A 19,054-nucleotide genomic window follows, 5' to 3' on the forward strand; every position below is an offset into this window, starting at 1 on the left:
CAACTGACTTACATTGTTTTGTAAGTCCGTGTTGTAGGAGGAAAGTATACTGGGTTAGACAGACAATGGTTTTGTCCAGAATATGGCTTCTATTGATCATTTTGATATTGGTCTTATAGGGGCCAAGGGAAGACTTCCTCACTCTCTGAAAGTTTGCTGAAAATAAACTGACAAGAGGCAGATTAATATGAGAAAATGCATACAGATGTATTAACGGGAATAGGGGAGAATCACAGAGTGATTACCCACCAGACAAATGGTACACAGATGGTTATATACCCTTCTTAAGGGAGAGGGAGATGGAGAAGTGTGGATATTTTGGTGGGGGGGTGGGGCGGTAAATGATTTTAGGGGAATTTAATGGCCTTGAAGAACATACAATGGCCTGGGACAAAGTCTGTTAGGTCTGCAAAACAAACAGTGGTTTGGGACAAGTCTGTCCAGTTGTGTTGACAGACTGCAGCCCTTCTTCCTGTGATAGGAGTTTAGTTAATGAAAAACTCAGGGAAGGGATCACAGGTAATTGTTTTCTTTGGTGGGTCTAGGCTTTAGGCAGATAAATGAATTTCAGAGAACAGCTTCATCCTGGGCTATGGGAGAGACAGAGGATTAAGAGATGGGGGTTGGGGGTATCAGAGAGACCTTGATTCTTCTTCAGTTCAACATGTCAACATGGGGTATATGAACCCAGTTCAACATGGGGTATATGTTTCTGTACCCCAACAGTTTCATTAGAACTATTTTTCTTACCAATAAATAAAAAGATCTCCTTGCTGAGTTGCATGGTAGCAGAACTCTCCTTCTGCCACTGAACGCACTTTGCATCCTTGATATTTAAAACTACGCTAAAACTAAATCAATCACAGTAATGATGGAAGGAGAACTAATGTTATTTGTTATATGTGCGCAAGGCAGCAGTTTTGACTAACCAATTTTATTAATGAGGAAAACAGAGGCTTTTAAAAGTTAAATACAGTCATCAGTCACTTAATAAAGTGATATATTCTGAGGACTCTGTCATTGGGTGATTTTTGTCGTCGTTCATTCATAGAGTGTGCTTACACAAACCTAGATGGTATAGCTTACTATACACCTAGGCTATAAGCTATCGCCTTTCGCTGTGAGACTACAAACCTGTATAGCATGTTACTGTACTGAATACTGTAGGCAATGTAACACAGTGGTATTTTTGTATCTAAACATAGAAAAGATACAGTAAAAATGTGGTACAAAAGATTAAAAATGGCACACCTGCATAGTGCACTTACCATGAATGGAGCTTACAGGACTGGAAGTCACTCTGGGTGAGTCAGTGAGTGTGTGGCGAGTGAATATGAAGGCCTGAGACATTAGTGTACACTCCTGTAGACTTTATAAATAATGTACACTTAGGCTATACTGAATTTATTTTAAAATGCATTTTATTCAGTAATAAATTAACCTTAGTTTACTTTAACTTTTTTTTATGAACTTAAAAAGGCCTGTAAAACAAAGAATGGTTTGGGACAAGTCTGTCTAAAAGACTTTTTCACTTTTTTTTTTGTAATAACACTTAGCTTAAAACACAAACACATTGTACAACTGTACAAAAATCTTCTTTCTTTATATCTTTATTCTATAAACTTCTATTTAAAAATTTTTTACTTTTATTTTTAAAATTTTTTGTGAAAAACAAAGACACCAACACATACATTAGCCTAGGCCTACACAGGCTCAGGATCATCAATATCACTGTCTTCTACTAATGCCACATCTTGTCCAACTAGAAGGTCTAACACGCATAGTGTCATCATCTCCTATGATAACAATGCCTTCTTTTGGAATACCTCCTAAAGGACCTGCCTGAGGCTGTTCCACGGTTAATGTTTTTTGTTTTGTTTTTAATGTAAGTAGAAGAAGTACACCCTAAAATAATTACTTTTTTGTTTCTTTGAGACAGAGTTTCGCTGTGTTGTCCAGGCTGGAGTGCAGTGCCATGATCGTGGCTCACTACAACCTCTGCCTCCCGGGTTCAAGCAATTATCCTCCCTCAGCCTCCTGAGCAGTTGGGACTACAGGTGCCCACCACTACGCCTGGCTAAGTTTTATATTTAGGTAGAGACAGGGTTTCACTTCGTTGGCCAGGCTGGTCTCGAACTCCTGACCTCAAGTGGTCCACGCACCTTGGCCTCCCAAAGTGCTGGGATTACAGGCATGAGCTATCGCACCTGGCTAAAATAATGATTACAAGTATTGTAAATACGTAAACCAGTAACATAGTTATTTACTATCATTATCCAGTATTATATACTGTACATTATTGTACATGCTCTGCTTCGATATGATTGGCAGCGCAGGTTTGTTTACACCAAATCACCACAAACACATGAGTAATGAAGTGCACTATGACATTATGTCTACAACATTACTAGGCAATGGGATTTTTTCAGCTCCATTATAATCTATGGGACTAATGTAGTATATACAGTTTACCATTGACTGAAATGTCCTACTTCTATGGCACATGAGTGTAACAGGTGCATGGCCACACAGCTAGCAAGAATTTCAACCAGGTTTGTCAATAGCAATCACTCAGCCTAGAAAAGCTTTTCTGGTCTCTTTTTTTATCCTAAGGTAAAGAACATATACTTTGGAGAGGATTTTCTCTTTGTCAAATCCCCACTTTTGGGAAGAATTATTTGCTAGATGATGCCCTAATAGAACCCACTTTCCAGGTTGTTTCTAAAAGCATTTTTGGTTAAAAAATTAAATGATGCTACTACTACTATAATGAAATTAGCTCAGGAAGACAAACTCTTAGGCTACACAACAGCCTTCTCAGCCCTTTTGGTTTGGAGTTTTGGGGCTGGCTTTGGAGCTCCGTGGAAGGCCTGATACAGAGAGAGGTCTAGTTTAAAAGGCTGAGAGAAGCAACTTCTGGTTTGTTCCTTGTCGGAAATTCTTTTAGATCCATTCCAAGTTCAGGAGAACCTTATGAATATGCAAATATACAAGAGATCCCTCACCAACCGAAGACCTTTTTAAATTCTTCAATTAGAAAATACTCCAATAACATATTGTGAATTGGTGGGTTCTTGGTCTTGCTGACTTCAAGAATGAAGCCATGGACCCTCGCGGTGAGTGTTACAGTTCTTAAAGATGGTGTGTCCAGAGTTTGTTTGTTCCTCCCGTCCGGAGTTGTTCATCCCTCCCGGTGGGTTTGTGGTCTTGCTGGCTTCAGGAGTGAAGCTGCAGACCTTTGCAGTGAGTGTTACAGCTCATAAAGGCAGAGTGGACCCAAAGAGTGAGCAGCAGCAAGATTTATTGCGAAGAGTGAAAGAACAAAGCTTCCACAGCGTGGAAAGGGACCCCAGCGGGTTGCCACTGCTGGCTCTGGCAGCCTGCTTTTATTCCCTAATCTGACCCTACCCACATCCTGCGGATTGGTCCATTTTACAGAGAGCTGATTGACCCATTTTACAGAGAGCTGATTGGTCTGTTTTGACAGGGTGCTGATTGGTGGGTTTACAAACCTTGAGCTAGACACAGAGTGCTGATTGGTGCACTTACAATCCTTTAGCCAAACACAAAGTTCTCCAAGTCCCCACTAGATTAGCTAGACACAGAGCACTGATAGGTGCATTTACAAACCTTTAGCTAGACACAAGGTGCTGATTGGTGCATTTACAAACCTTTAACTAGACATAGAAGTTCTCCAAGTCCCCACCCCCACCCAGGAGCCCAGTTGGCTTTGCCTACTGGATCCTGCTGCAGGTGGAGCTGCCCACCAGTCCCGGCGCCACACTCCTGCACTCCTCAGCCCTTGGGCAGTCATGGGACCGGGCGCCATGGAGCAGGGGGTGGTGCCCGTCGAGGAGGCTCAAGGCTCGGGCCGCATGGGAACCCACTGGGGGTGGGGGGGCTTGGGCATGGCGGGCTGCGGGTCCTGAGCCCTGCCCCACGGGGAAGTGGCTGAGGCCTGGCGAGAATTTGAGCGTGGTGTGGGCAGGTGGGGGACCTGGTGCACCTTCCGCAGCTGCTGGCCCAGATACTAAGCCCCTCACTGCCCGTGGCCAGCGGCACTGGCCAGCCGCTTCCAGTGCAGGGCCGACTGAGCCTGCCCCCACCCGGAACTCATGCTGGCTCTCAAGGGACGCGCAGCCCTGGTTCCCAGCCCGTACCTCTCCCTCTTTACCTCCCCGCAAGCAGAAGGAGCCAGCTCCGCCCTCGGCCAGCCCAGAGAGGGGCTCCCACAGTGCAGTGGCGGGCTGAAGGGCTCCTCAAGCGTGGCCAGAGTGGATGCTGAGACAGAGGAGTCGCCGAGAGTAAGCGAGGGCTGCTAGCACGGGCTGCTAGCATGTTGTCACCTCTCAATATCACCTATTCTAGGCCGGGCGTGGTGGCTCACGCCTGTAAACCCAGCACTTTGGGAGGCCGAGGCGGGCGGATCTCAAGGTCAGGGGTTCAAGACCAGCCTGACCAACATGGTGAAACCCTGTCTCTACTAAAAATACCAAAATTAGCCAGGCGTGGTGGTGTGCAGCTGTAATCCCAGCTACTCAGGAGGCTGAGGCAGGAGAATCGCTTGAACCCAGGAGGCAGAGGTTGCAGTGAGCTGAGATTGCGCCATTGCACTCCAGCCTAGGTGACAGAGTAAGACTCCGTCTCAAAAAAAAAAAAAAAAAAAAAAAGACATATGACCTATTCTGTCAAACACAGTACTAAGTATGTAGGTGGTGAATTACAGATAAGCATTAGCATTTCCAGGTTGTATATGTCAAAGGATAGGTTTTTACTTTATTTCCAAACATCACTCTGTATGTGATTGCAAGGACAGAATTTAAAGTCCTGTTGAAACACAGATGCTGTGCAGTTAGACAGGGCCCGTCACTAGCTGGGAGCTACCTCCTGACCACGTAGCCTTATAACTTTTAGAGTGCAAATTGGTGCTTAACTCTGCATTTTTCCAATTTGCTGTAGGGAACTGGTGCTGATCTTGAAAACAATACAGATTATTCCTTTTATTTATTTATATTTTATTTGTGCAGATTTATGGGGTACATGTGAAATTTTCTTATAAGAGTATTCCTTTTAAATTGTGTTTCAGCTGAATTAATACACATCAAGGATTTTTTGGTCACTAAACTTAAATTCTCAAATGCTAAGTGTCTGTTATAAGTTCTGAGGGAGGGTAATAGGTCAATTCATAAACATCTACCAATAGAAAATTATAAATGAGCTTTTCAGCTGCCTGGGGGGCTGGTGCTCACTAGTTAATTTGAATAAAAAGGGAGGGAAATGAAGGAGGAAAAGCCAGGTTCAAAGCAAGAGGTGCTTCTTCAGGGAGGATCTCTTAACAAAAAGAAGTGCTGAGGCCGGGTGAGGTGACTCACTCCTGTAATCCCAGCACTTTGGGAGGCCGAGGCGGGTGGATCATCTGAGGTCAGGAGTTTGAGACCAGCCTGACCAACATGGAGAAGCCCTGTCTCTACTAAAAACACAAAATTAGCTGGGCGTGGTGGCGGGCACCTGTAATCCCAGCTACTCAGCAGGCTGAGGCAGGAAAACACTTCAACCCCAGAGGTGGAGGTTGCAGTGAGCTGAGATCGCACCATTGCACTCCAGCCTGGGAGCAAAACTCAGTCTCAAAAAAAAAAAAAAAAAAAAAGGGCTGGGCCGAGCACGGTGGCTCAAGTCTGTAATCCTAGCACTTTGGGAGGCCGAGGCAGGCAGATCACTTGAGGTCAGGAATTCGAGACCAGCCTGGCCAACATGGTAAAACCTCATCTCTACCAAAAATACAAAAATTAGCTGGGTGTGGTGGCAGGCGCCTGTAATCCCAGCTACTCGGGAGGCCGAGGCAGGAGAATTGCTTGAATCTGGCAGATGGTGGTTGTAGTGAGCTGAGATCGCGCCATTGCACTCCAGCCTGGGCAACAAGAGTGAAACTCCGTTTAAAAAAAAAAAAAAAAGAAGTGGTGGAGAAATTCCCAAAGTTGTGTGTATGTATATGTATGGAGGTCGGCGGGGCCGGGGTAGAAGAAGAAAATAAGGAGAAAAAAGTTGAAGAAAATCCAGAATTTACAATTTAGCCAAAGGCTGGCCCTAGCCAAGACCTTTTCTTCAGACCTGATTAATTTGCCCCAAACCTCACCAGCTCTGAGTTCTGTACTCAAATGGGGGTGAGAAAGGGAAAGAAACCTCCAGAGTGGACCCATCTGGTGACAGCGGAGAGAGTATAACACGCTCTGCAGGTGGTGCTGGTGTGTTGTGTTTTCTCTTTGTTCCCTCTTCTTTCTAAACCCAGGATCTTTCCTTTCCTCCTTTCCCATTAGAAAACATCAAAATGTCAAACCTACAGGCAGTTATATCATTGTTTCAGCTGCATGTGAATGGACTGATGGCATCGGCCGTGCAGCTCATTAAAATAAAGCTGCACTGTCTCTGATGTCTTCACTTGGGTCATAGAGCTGCTCACTGATAGGTTGTTTTTCTAGGTTTTGAAAACTTAGCTCCATGTTTTCTCCCCTTCTTAAATGAACCTGTTTTCTTTACCCATCCCAGATGAAGCATTTCCTTCCATTTTGCATACAGTCTCCCACATACTCCTTTAGGCAAGCCTCTTTATTCACCCCTCCTAACTCTCACCCCTTTTAGCACCAGTTTTTCACTTTCATTGAACAAGGCTGCAGACATCCTCACCCCATGGGAAGGTGGCTGCCTGGACGGCAGTCCACCCAGCCTAACCCACATGCTGACAGCAGTGTCTTCCATCTCAAACATTTCTGCTTTATACCCTTGCCACCTGTTCAGAGCAGATGGGAAGCTGCCACGGCAAGGCCAGTGCTAAATGCCACTCATGCACTCTGCAAACCAAAGCAGGGTTTTTGTTGTTGCATTATAATAATGGAACACAGGCTGCTTGCAGTCAGCCCCTACAATTGTTTTCATCAATCAGTTCCTTTCAGTCAGCCCAGGTAGTTGGGATAGATATTGAGAACAGGTGCATTCCATTGGGTTTCCGAGTGATTTGGTGCCTGAGCTCCTATCTGCAATGAGCACATGGGAACTGTGGGTGGTAGGAGGAGTCTGATGGTTGCAGCATCAGAGTCTGACGACGTGGAAGGCAACTGGTGCTGGCCTAATTCCCTGTGGTACAACCTGGGCTTTGGGGCCATCACGTCTTTATAATCATTTCGCCTCATGGCCCTTTGCCAAGTTTCCTTTTAAGCAATAGTTTGGTCTCATATGACCTTACTGGAGAATTTAACAGGGGTTCATTAGAAGATGTAGAAGTATAGAAATAAGAGGGGTTTACACTGAAACCACATGGTATTTTATAGAGTGAGGTATTGTCAAATGAGTAGAACAATGCATATTCTTTCGTTTCTATGTTTTGAAAAATTCTCCCCACAGTATACACTATTGTGTCCTAAATACCATGGCCCCTCAGGTATTTGGCCAAACAGGCTTTCGGATTTTGGAAGACATGGAGCATGAGGTAAGTGCCTAGATCCTCAAACCACTTGCCTCCACCTATGCTTCCAGGTGGACACTCTGGAGGTGATACGGCATCCGGAAGAAACCACCAACATGAAGAGGCAAACTGTGGCTTCTTACTTCCGGGTATGGAGTCTTCTTGATCTCTATTCTGCCTGCTTCCAAAAAGGACTGTCTAAGCCTTCTTATGAGATGCCCAGATGGAGTCAGTGAAACAAGGGCAAAGCACAGAGTCAAGAAAGATTGGGTTGGGGAAGTGGTGGAAGCAAGGAAGGAAGAGAACATTGGGCACAAAACCCTGCCCATTAAGTGACTGATTCTGTTAGCATATGAGCTGCTTCTTGGTCTTAAAGCTACTAGAGGCAGCCACTTTTCTAGCATACTGAATAGTAAAGTAGTTAATAAAGTTCCAGAAGGTGGCTTATAAGTTCAGATACTGAGAGAATCTGTCTTAGCATTGACTTTATTTTCCTAGATTGAATTGACCCCTTGTAAAACCCACTTGTCTGAGCCCTATTATTTCCCATTTCTGCCATCCCTATTTCTGATACTTCATCTAGTTAAATGCCTCCTTTGGGTAAAAACATGGTCTCTAGAAGGGCTCTGTTAAATGCACATTATATAGCAAAGATAAGACATATACACTCTTGCACAGATTTGTTTGTCTTCAAATTATAAAGCGTTAGAGTTGGAAGGCCCTTAGAGACTGGGAGCTAAGGTCCAGATAGTTTCACAATAGAAATACTGTTAGGCCGAGCACATTGGCTCACACCTATAGTCCCAGCATTTTGGGAGGCTGAGGCAGGCGCATCACCTGAGGTCAAGAGTTAAGAGACCAGCCTGGCCAACATGGTGAAACCCCTTCTCTAGTAAAAATGCAAAAATTAGGTGTGGTGGCAGGTGCCTGTAATCCCAGCTACTTGGGAGGCTGAGGCAGGAGAATCACCTGAACCTGGGAGGTGGAGGTTGCAGTGAGCTGAGATTGCGCCATTGCAGGCCTGGGTGACAAAGTGAGACTCCCTCTCAAAAAAAAAAAAAAAAAAAAAATGCTGTTAGATCAAATTTAGAACTGATCTCAGGGATAGCAGAATGAGGTAGTAAGATAGGGTTGGCACAAGAAAGGGCTTGGCAGGGATGAGAGGTCAGGTGGATGGGAAGCTGGAAGAGCCAGGAAGGCTGAAGGGCAGGACTTGGGAGCCAGCACTCTGGATAGAAGGCTCCATGGAAAGCTAGCAGGTGCAGGGATCTAAAACGCGGAAGTCCAGCCTAGCCAATTGTGCTTCAGAGGCAGGCTAGAATTGGGCTCGGTATGAATTGCAGGGGCCCCAGACCTTCGAATCCAGTATTCCATCCATGCATTGAGTCGTGCTATAGCATCTGTGGAAGGTGGGCCCCTGCCTCATCATTCTGATGTTTGGTTATTTATAATTGCTACTTATTTCTTATATTGAGACACACCTGGTCCTATCCCCTTGAGTGGCTCTATCCTCATCTGTTAGTCTGTTAGTCCATTTTATGTTGCTATGAAGGAATACTTGAGACTGGATAATTTTTTTTTTTCTTTTAAGACAGAGTCTGGCTCTGTCACCCAGGCTGGAGTTCAGTGGTGCCATCTAGGTTCACTGCAACCTCCGCCTCCTGGGTTCAAGCGATTCTCCTGCGTCAGCCTCCCACGTAGCTGGGACTACAGGTACGTGCCACCATGCCTGGCAATTTTTTTTTTTTGTATTTTCACTAGAGATGAGGCTTCACCATGTTGGCCAGTCCGGTCTCGAACTCCTGACCTTAGGTAATCCACCCACCTCGGCCTCCCAAAGTGCTAGGGTTACAGGCATGAGCCACTGTGCCCAGCCAAGACTGGATAATTTATAAAGAAAAGAGGTTTATTGGCTCACGGTTCTGCAGGCTCCACAAGCCTGGCACCAGCATCTACTTGGCTTCTGGTGAGGCCTCGGGGAGCTTTTACTCATAGAGCAGGCGTGTTACATGGCAAGAGAGGGAGGAATGGAGAGAGAACAAGATAGAGGGGAGATCCCAGACTCTTTTAAACAACCCGATTTTGCATGAACTAATAGAGTAAGAATTCACTCATTGCCGTGAGGACAGCACCAAGCCATTCATGAGGAATTTGCCCCATGACCCAAACACCTCCCACTGGGCCCATTTCCAACATTAGAGGTCACATTTCAACATGAGATTTGGAGGAAACACACATCCAAACCATATCATCCTCCTGGTAACCCTTGGTGTCTGTATGTGTTTCCCACTGGATTTAGTAGCTCTATTTACTCTGTGAAGTGATCCTCAAGATCTTAGGGCCCCCCTATCAGCAGAAAAGCCTCTGGCTACGGTTTTTCAGAAATATACCCATACAACCAGTTTGGTGTTCTCAAAATACCCGTTCACGAGTGCTAAACCTGAAAAATAAGTTACCTTGGAAACTAGGTAACACCAATTTTGATCTGTAGGAGCAGTGACTATGAAATAATGGAACTGAGTTCCTTTGGCTTATAATAGCTCCTGAAGGTGAGCCCAGAAGAGCTCCAGCAGTGGATGCCCCTGAGGAACAACTGAGGCCCTCCCTCACAAGCACCCCCCTGATTTTCCGTGTCCTTGCTCCCCTCTTGCTGTGAGAGCCCTGTACCAGCTGCTTGGTGTATGTTAGTTGATAGTCACCACAGTCTTCTTTTTGGTACTTCTCTCATTTTCTTTGCCTTGTTTTTGTATTTTTCTTTTCTGTCCCACTACCTTATTACCAATCGTATCTGTAGGATTTGCTTAGACTATCTGGTGGTTCTTAGGCTGAAGAAGCAAATAGCCCCTTCCTCAAAAGCTGGACATTTTAAATTACAGATACAGATTGTGGAACATCACCTTGGAATACCAGCGACAAGCATTCTAGTTCTGGCGGTGGAATTACAGGATAACCTAGATAGAGCATGTTCTTAGCTAAGTTTCTGCCATATGGGATATTGCTTGGCACTAGGTGATGTTTAAAGAATGGTTTTGAATCTGCAGATGGCTATAAGTGCAACTTACATTATTATCTCCTATTGCTGATTTCATGTTCTTCCTCAAGAAGGTCTGTGAGCCTCGAACTGCTCCAGAGGCTTCTGCGGGCCTGTGTTGTAACTATCCATTGTGTTGGTGGTAACCTTGTTCCTTGTGCATTTTTCTCCCTGGTAGTATTCTCTGATGGACCTGCTCTCCAAAATGGTGGTTGGACAGCCCCACTTTGTGCGCTGCATTAAACCCAATGATGACCGAGAGGCCCTGCAGTTCTCTCGAGAGAGGGTGCTGGCCCAGCTCCGCTCCACAGGGATTCTGGAGACAGTCAGCATCCGCCGCCAGGGCTATTCCCACCGCATCCTTTTTGAAGAATTTGTGAAAAGGTCAGACCGTCATCTACGGGAATGCATTCTTATAAATGTAGCTCTACTCTGGCCATCCCTGTGTCCTAAGATTGTTCCTCCTGCGTGCTCTCCTCCAAACATGTAATTGGCTAGTTGCCAGCTACCATTTACTTGCTTGAATGTTGCATTTTTATTGTGCTTCAACTAAACTGCAGTGATCCAGCAGCCAGATTAAGCTTCCTTCTGATCACATTATTTTAAATTTCCATATACGTTTATATGTTATAAATCCTTAGGTCTCAAGTTCTCCAGGTATTTTGTTGTTATGATGAAAGTATCCCTCCATAAGTGGGCCGGATTTGAATGCACCCAAGCACCAGTTCTTCTTCCAGGTTCTGGCATGATATAATACGATAATTAACACTTACATAACACCTGAAGTATCATAAGAGTACAGGACATTTTAGGGCACTATTCTAAAATGTATTATCTCATTTGATCCATAGAACAACCCTATAAGCTAGACTCTATTATCATCCCCATTTTACAAAACGTAAAGGTGAGAAAACTTGGGTATGAAAAGAAAGTAAGTGATTTTCCCATGGTCTCATGCTGGTCAATGTAGAACCAGGATTTGAACCCAGGCAGTCTGGTTTCAGCATGCATGCTTTTAATCTCTTCAGTTCAGTGCATTCAATCAATATTTATTGAAATAAATTGCATGGCACTTTCTTAACCCAGAAAGTGCCTTTGCCTAAGAATGAAATGCTGCTCTTTTCTGAACGACTGCCATAGAGATTATGTATGAATGTGATTACAAGTAGAATTTTCTGTGAAGAAATAAGGAAAACAGTAACAAAAAAAAAACACCCCTGAGAAGCACTGCTGTCTGAGGATGCCTGGAGAGGAATATTGAAATCCATTGTATGCCTGACAAAGACAAGGCAATCAAGAAAAAAAAAATACATTGTAGAATCTGCCTCACTCCTTAAGCCATCCTTAGTGTCTTTTTACTTCCACTCTGAAACATGTGCCCAAAGTCATTTTTTCCAAAATTTTCTCAGGAGAGGATGAGTCATAAATATGGTAGCTTGCTTTGTCACGTCTCCCAAACTCTGCTAAATTCCATGGAAAAGATAAGGCAAAAAAAAAAAAAAAAGTTCCTTGCAATGAGAGCTTTTAAATTAAAAATAAGAAGGAAATGGCTTTTTTTTTTTAAGTGTCTTTGAGCTCCTTTTTTCCTCTTAAATTTGGAAGTGGAACAAGAAAAAAAATTTAGCACATGAATTTGACTAGTCAAGTATTTTTTGTAACAATGTTTGAATACATAAAAATATTTAAGAAAACAGGTCAAATGCTGAACAGATTGGCACTTCTTTGTTCATAATCAGAAAGCCATTAGGCAAGTATGAACAGGAGTTTCAAAATGCCAGTAAATCTGAGGATATCAAAGATTTCTGAGCCAGCAAGTTAATTGGTATTTTGATCCTTTTGAACCACTTAACAAAATGGATGAGTTAGCAGTTTTCTCCCTTGATGTTATTCAACAAATAGGTACACTTCTTATCTTCCTGTTCAAGAGTGCTGTTTTGTAAACTCTTAGCAGGAAATATGCAGACAGGACAATCAAAGACAGGAAACAGAGCCATTCAAGGTTTATTAAATGGAGGTAAATAAAAGATAAAAACTCATTTAATGTGACTCTACATTTTTGTATTTTCTGGCATTCAGGACTGAAACCCTGAGTATACACCTGGTGGTGTTCTTGGGATCATGTTGTTGGGTTCCAGAAAGGGGAAAGACTTCCCCAGTTCCCAAATTACCCAAGTCTGCAGGCTTGGCCAAGCCTAAAATACTTTCTTGCCCCTATTATCTTTGAGCTTTCTGGCAAAATGACTTGGAAGTGCCCTTCCTTATCCTCTACTCATGGAGCCTTTGAGGAAGAGGGTGTCCCCAACATCCTCTCATCAATAGGGCCAGGTGAATTGGAAGTCTTTATGTTCTCGACTAGGCATGAAAGAGGCCACCTGGAAATGCTGGAGCCACACTGTTGAGGGACGTCATAGAAAAGCAATCTAAGCATTTATTGTTTTTATGGTCAGTGGATTCTGATGCATAGTCTCTCAGAATGTCTACAGAGGGCAAACACATAACTGCATGTATTGGGATGTGTTCTGGCAAATGTCTAAAACATAGGGCTGAGTCAGGCTGGGCGTGATGGCTCACACCTGTAATCCTAGCACTTTGGGAGGCAGGCACATCACCTGAGGTTAGGAGTTCGAGACCAGCCTGGCCAACATGGTGAAATCCTGTCTTTACTAAAAATACAAAAATTAGCTGGGTGTGGTGGCTACTTGGGAGGCTGAGCCAGGAGAATCGCTTGAACCCAGGAGGCGGAGGTTGCAGTGAGCCAAGATCGTGCCACTGCGCTCCAGCCAGGGCGACGGAGTGAGACTTCCTCTCAAAAAGATAAAGAATAGGGCTGAGTCTAATTGTTTGTTTATGAAGCTATTGTAGTAAATAATGCAGTTTAGTAAGGAGACCTGAATTCTAGTCTCCTTCAGTATATAACATCTGGAAAGTAACCCAATATTCTGTAAAAGATGTTTCCTCACCTGCATGACAAGAAGGCAGGAATATACAAAGCCCACATTCTAAAGATTTTCAAGGATTACTTGCAGATGCCTGGGGCTTACTTAGTTTCTAAGTCTTCTAGGGATTTTTGCCTTCCCAGTCGAGCTCGCTGGATGAGAGACCTGCATCTACCAGGCTGTGATGCGTAACAGTTGTTAACCATTGAACAAAATGAAACTCTTCCCTCTTCTCTTTCATTGGCATCTTCCATTTCTTCTCATGATGGCGTGGAGAACCATGGTGTCTTGGTATCTCTTTCATCTCATTCTCCTTTCTGTTCCTTCACTCTCTCTCTTCCAGAAACTAGGAGTCACCTTTGACTTCTCCTCACTTCCTTTAAATAATCCATCACCAGGTCCAGCTCACTACCTGCTAAAGTTTCTAAAAAATGTTCCCTTGGGAATCTCTCATCCCTTCTCCCATAGCTTTAGTCCAGCCCTTTTGTTATTATTAACAGCTCAATTTAGATATAATTCACGTATGATAAAAGTCATCTTTTGAAAGTATACAATTCAGCCGGGCACGGTGGCTCACACCTGTAATCCCAGCACTTTGGGAGGCTGAGGAGGGTGGATCACCTGAGGTCGGGAGTTCGAGACCAGCCTGACCAACATGGAGAAACCTCGTCTCTACTAAAAATACAAAATTAGCTGGGTGTGTTGGTGCATGCCTGTAATCCCAGCTACTGAGCAGGCTGAGGCAGGAGAATCACTTGAAACTGGGAGGTGAAGGTTGTAGTGAGCCGAGATCGTGCCATTGCCCTCCAGCCTGGGCAACAAGAGCGAAACTCCGTCTCAAAAAAAAAAAAAAAAAAAAAAAAAAAAGAAGGAAAGTATACAGTTCAAAGGTTTTTAATTAGTCACAGAGTTGTATAAACATGACTACCATCTAATCATAGAACATTTCATTACCTAAAAGGAAACTCCAAACTCATTAGCCATTCTCCCTTTTCTCCTCAATCCCACCAAACTTAGGCAACCAATAATCTAACTTCCATCTGTATGGATTTGCCTATTTTTGACATTTCGTGTAAATGGAATCATACAACGTGGCCTTTTGTGTCTGGCTTCTTTTACTTAGCATGTTTTCAGTGTTGGATGAAATGAATACTGGTACTATGTACCAGTATGTTATTTTTTTGTAGATGAATAATATCCCATTGCATGAATATATCATGTTTTGCTTGCTCATTTATCAGGGGATGAACTTTTGCATTGTTTCCACTTTTTGGCTGTTATGAATAATGCTGCTATGAATATTCATGTACAACTTTTAATGTGGACATATGTTTTCACTTCTTTTGGGTATATACCTACGAGTAGAATTTCTTGGTCATATGGTAACCCTCTGTTCCAAGTGGCTGAACAATTTAAATTACCATCACCAGTGTTATGAGAGTCCCAATTTTTCCACATCGTCTCCAACATTTATTATTGTTTGTCTTTTTTATTTTAGTCATTCTAGTTGATGTGAAGTGGCATCTCATTGTAGTTTTGATTTGCATTTCTCTAATGACTAATGATGTTGAGCAGCTTTTCTGTGTTTCTTGGTTATGTGTATACCTTCTTTGGAGAAATGTTTATTCAAATCCTTTGCCCACTTTATATTGTTGATGTTTATGTATTCCAAATATTAGTCCCTTATCACATAGATAATTTGCAAATATTTTCTCTCTCTCTCTCTCTTTTTTTTTTAATGAGCTACTGGTCACTTTGATATTTTCTCACTCTATGGGTTGTTTTCTCTTTTTTTTTTCTTCTTTGAGATGGAGTCTCATTCTGTCACCCAGGCTGGAGTGCCCTGGCACAGTCTTGGCTCACTGCAAACTCCGCCTCCCGGGTTCAAGCAATCTCATGCCTCAGCCTCCGGAGTAGCTGGGATTACAGGCATCTGCCACCATGCCCTGCTAATTTTTGTATTTTTAATAGAGATGGGGTTTCACCATGTTGGTCAGGGTGGTCTCGAACTCCTGACCTCATGTCATCCACCCACCTCAGCCTCCCAAAGTGCTAGGATTACAGGAGTGACCCACTGTGCCTGGCCTGGGTTGTCTTCTTGATGGTGTCCTTTGAAGCACAAAATTTTTTAATTTTGATGAAGTTCAATTTATGTATGTTTTCTTTTGTTGCTCGTACTTTTGGTATTCTACCTAAGAAGCTATCATCTAATCCAATGTGACAAAGATTTACTCCTATCATTATTCTGGGAGTTTTGTAGTTTTACCTCTTATATTTTAGATCTATGGTCCATTTGGATTTAATTTTTTGTATGGTGTAAGGTAGAAGTCTAACATCATTCTTTTGTATGCGGATATCCAGCAGTTTCAACACCATTTTGTTGAAAATACTGTTATTTCCTCCCATTGAATTGTCCTTGGATTCTTGTTGAAAATCACTTGACCAGGCCGGGGCGCAGTGGCTCACACCTGTAATCCCAGCACTTTGGGAGGCTGAGGCGGGTGGATCACCTGAGGTTAGGAGTTCGAGACCAGCCTGATTAACGTGGAGAAACCCCGTCTCTACTAAAAATACAAAATTAGCTGGGCATGGTGGCACATGCCTGTAATCCCAACTACTTGGGAGGCGGAGGCAGGAGAATTGCTTGAACCCGGAAGGCAGAGGTTGTGGTGAGCCGAGATCGCGCCATTGCACTCCAGCCTGGGCAACAAGAGTGAAACTCTGTCTAAAAAAAAAAAAAAAAACTCACTTGACCAACTTGACCATAAATTTAAGGGTTTATTTCTGGACTCTCTTCTATTCTTTTCTCTATATCTTTTCTGGGCCTTTTAAAACGTTTTTTTTGCTCACCCTCTTGCCAGTTTTCTAAGTGGACTTCCTGCCTATTTCATTCTCCAAAGAGACAGCAGAATAGAATTTGTTAAAATTCCTATCTGAGCATATTGTTTCCTTGATTAAAATGACCATCCAGGCCCCCATGGGGTGAGCTGCAGTGCTCTGGCCTGGTGTAAGGGAGTCCACCTGATTTGGCCCCTGCTTACTTTCCTAGTCTCTTCTCTCATTTTCCACATCTCAGATCACACTCCAGCCAAAATTGAATTACTTGGTGTTCCCTAACCATCCCAGGCTGTTCTAGTCTTTTGTGCTTTGCTCAGGCTATGTCGACTAAATCTGCCTTCTCCAAGCCCTCAGTCTGCTGTCTTAGCCAAGCTAAATCCTACTCATTCCTTAGGTCTTTGACCAGGCATTAACTTTTCTGTGATACCCTCCTTGACTTTCCCAGGCTGAGTTAGGATCTCTTTTGATGAGCTTCTTTGGTAGCACTTACTACATTGTAGAGCAATTATCTACCTCTTATCTGAACCTTAACTGCCTGGAAGGCAGGGATATTTTTCAGCTCACTTTTTATCTATTTATTTATTTATTTATTTATTTATTTATTTATTTATTTATTTTGAGACAGGGTCTCACTCTGTCACCCAGGCTGGAATGCAGTGGCACAATGTTGGCTCACTGCAACCTCTACCCGCTGGGTTCAAGCGACCCTCCCACCTTAGCCTCCCAAGTAGCTGGGCCACAGGCGTGCACCACCATGCCTGGCTTATTTTTGTATTTTTAGTAGCGATGAGGTCTCACCATGTTGCCCAGGCTGGTTTTGAACTCCTGAGCTCGAGCAATCTGTCTGCCTCAGCCTCGCAAACTGGTGGGATTATAGGTGTGAGCCACCATGCCTGAACTTCAGCTCACTTTATGTCTGTATTGTCCGATGCAGTGCCTGGCACGAATTCAGTGTTTAATTAATATTTGTTGAGTTGAATCAAACTCTTACCTCTTCTTTTTCATCACTATTTTCTTTTTCTTTTTCTTTTTCTTTTCTTTTTTTTTTTTTTTTTTTTTGAGATGGAGTCTCACTCTGTCACCTAGGCTGGAGTGTAGTGGGGTGATCTCGGCTTACTGCAAGCTTCGCCTCCTGGATTCATGCCATTCTCCTATCTCAGCCTCCCGAGTAGCTGGGACTACAGGCACCTACCACCATGCCCAGCTAATTTTTTTGTATTTTTTTTAGTAGAGACGGGGTTTCACCATGTTAGCCAGGATGGTCTCGATCTCCTGACCTTGTGATCCGCCTGCCTCGGCCTCCCAAAGTACTGGGATTACAGGCGTGAGCCACTGCGCCCAGCCGTTTTATCACTATTTTCTTTTATCATCCCTTGACTCACACTTCGATCCTTGCTCTTTGAAATATATGACAGATACCTAGAACTGGCTTTGTTGAGGTTAAGTTTTCCTTGTACTGTAGTGTACAACCTAGATTGATAGAATGTAAGATTTCAGGTAAGTCATAGTAGCTCTTTATCAATAAAAGGTAAGAAACCTAAATAAGTTGATTTAAAATAAGGCTGTAACCCAGTTTGACAATGCTATTATTAGAAGTTAATACATTGAAAGGCTAACTTTAAACAAATTTGCCTCCCTTCTCTATAACAAAAATGATTTTTTTTCGAAATCCAAAGAGATAAGCTTAATAGGACAAGGAAGACTCTCTCGTTTTCCAGCTTCTTCTCTCTCATCTCCCCATCTCTCAGCTCGTACTCCAGAAAAAAAGAAACCACTTGGAGCTTCCTAACACAGCCTACGTACATTTTATGAAAGCACCATTCTGTGAAAGCAGGCTGCTTACTTGGTATGTTAGTTAGGAACCTCTCAATAACAAGTAACTGAAACTCAAACTAGTTGAAGCAACAATTAAAAGGGGATGACATATTGGCTTAGGAAATTAGGAAATCCAAAGACATGTCTGGATCCAGGCAATCAAACAGTTTTACCAAGCCAGTGTCTTTTTCCTTGTATCAGGTTTCTTTTTCCCTTTTTTGAGTTTCTGATAAGGAGCCAGGTTAGCTCTCCTTACATGTTGGCAAAGATGGTCCCTGGATGCTCCTATAGAAAGCATTCTATAGGCTTAGCAACATTAGCAGCAAGAGAGTTTCTGAGAGTTCTTATGCAAGGAACTCTCTGACTCTCTGAGCCTGGATCACATGCCCACCCTTGAGCCAATTACTGTGCCCAGGGGTATGATTGGCAGGGTCTTGGGTCAACTGCCAGGGATGGAGTCAACCCCACTTGAACCATGGCCTAATGGACTCTTTAAAGGAAGGATAGGGATGGATAGGCTAAAACGATAGGCATCCATGGCTGGACATGGTGGCTGACGCCTGTAATCCCAGCACTTTGGGAGGCCAAGGTGGGTGGATCACCTGAGGTCGGGAGTTGAAGACCAGCCTGACCAACATGGAGAAACCCTGTCTCTACTTAAAAAAAAAAAATAATAATAAGCCAGGCGTGGTGGCGCATGCCTGTAATCCCAGCTACTTGGGAGGTTGAGGCAGGAGAATCACTTGAACCTGGGAGGTGGAGATTGCGGTGAGCCGAGATCACCCCATTGCACTCCAGCCTGGGTGACAAGAGTGAAACTCCGTCTCAAAAAAAAAAAAAAAAAAAAAAAAAAAAAAAAAAAAAAAAAGATAGGCATCCATTACCCTTAGTTTTGACTATTCTGTGTCCTAGAATAAATGACAACAGTTCAGAAAGGTTCACCTTAGCCCAGATATCTACCTATAGGAGCCCTTTAAT

The 19,054-nt window shown here is 43.4% G+C and overlaps 1 protein-coding gene across 11 annotated transcripts in view; it reads left to right on the top strand.

The window, feature by feature from the left end:
- MYO3B (myosin IIIB) overlaps positions 1-19,054 on the top strand; it is a 477,021-nt gene that overhangs the window by 277,694 nt on the left and 180,273 nt on the right. For all 11 annotated transcript variants that reach the window (NR_045682.2, NR_045683.2, NR_045684.2 and 8 more), the window contains 2 exons: positions 7,528-7,605; positions 10,666-10,871. Coding sequence is in view for 8 of the 11 variants with exons in the window: in NM_138995.5 (NP_620482.3) it covers positions 7,528-7,605; positions 10,666-10,871 (284 nt within the window). In the remaining 3 variants the exon portion in view is untranslated. The remainder of the gene's footprint in view (positions 1-7,527; positions 7,606-10,665; positions 10,872-19,054) is intronic.

Source organism: Homo sapiens, chromosome 2 (genome assembly GCF_000001405.40).
Source record: "Homo sapiens chromosome 2, GRCh38.p14 Primary Assembly".
Lineage (NCBI taxonomy): Eukaryota > Metazoa > Chordata > Mammalia > Primates > Hominidae > Homo > Homo sapiens.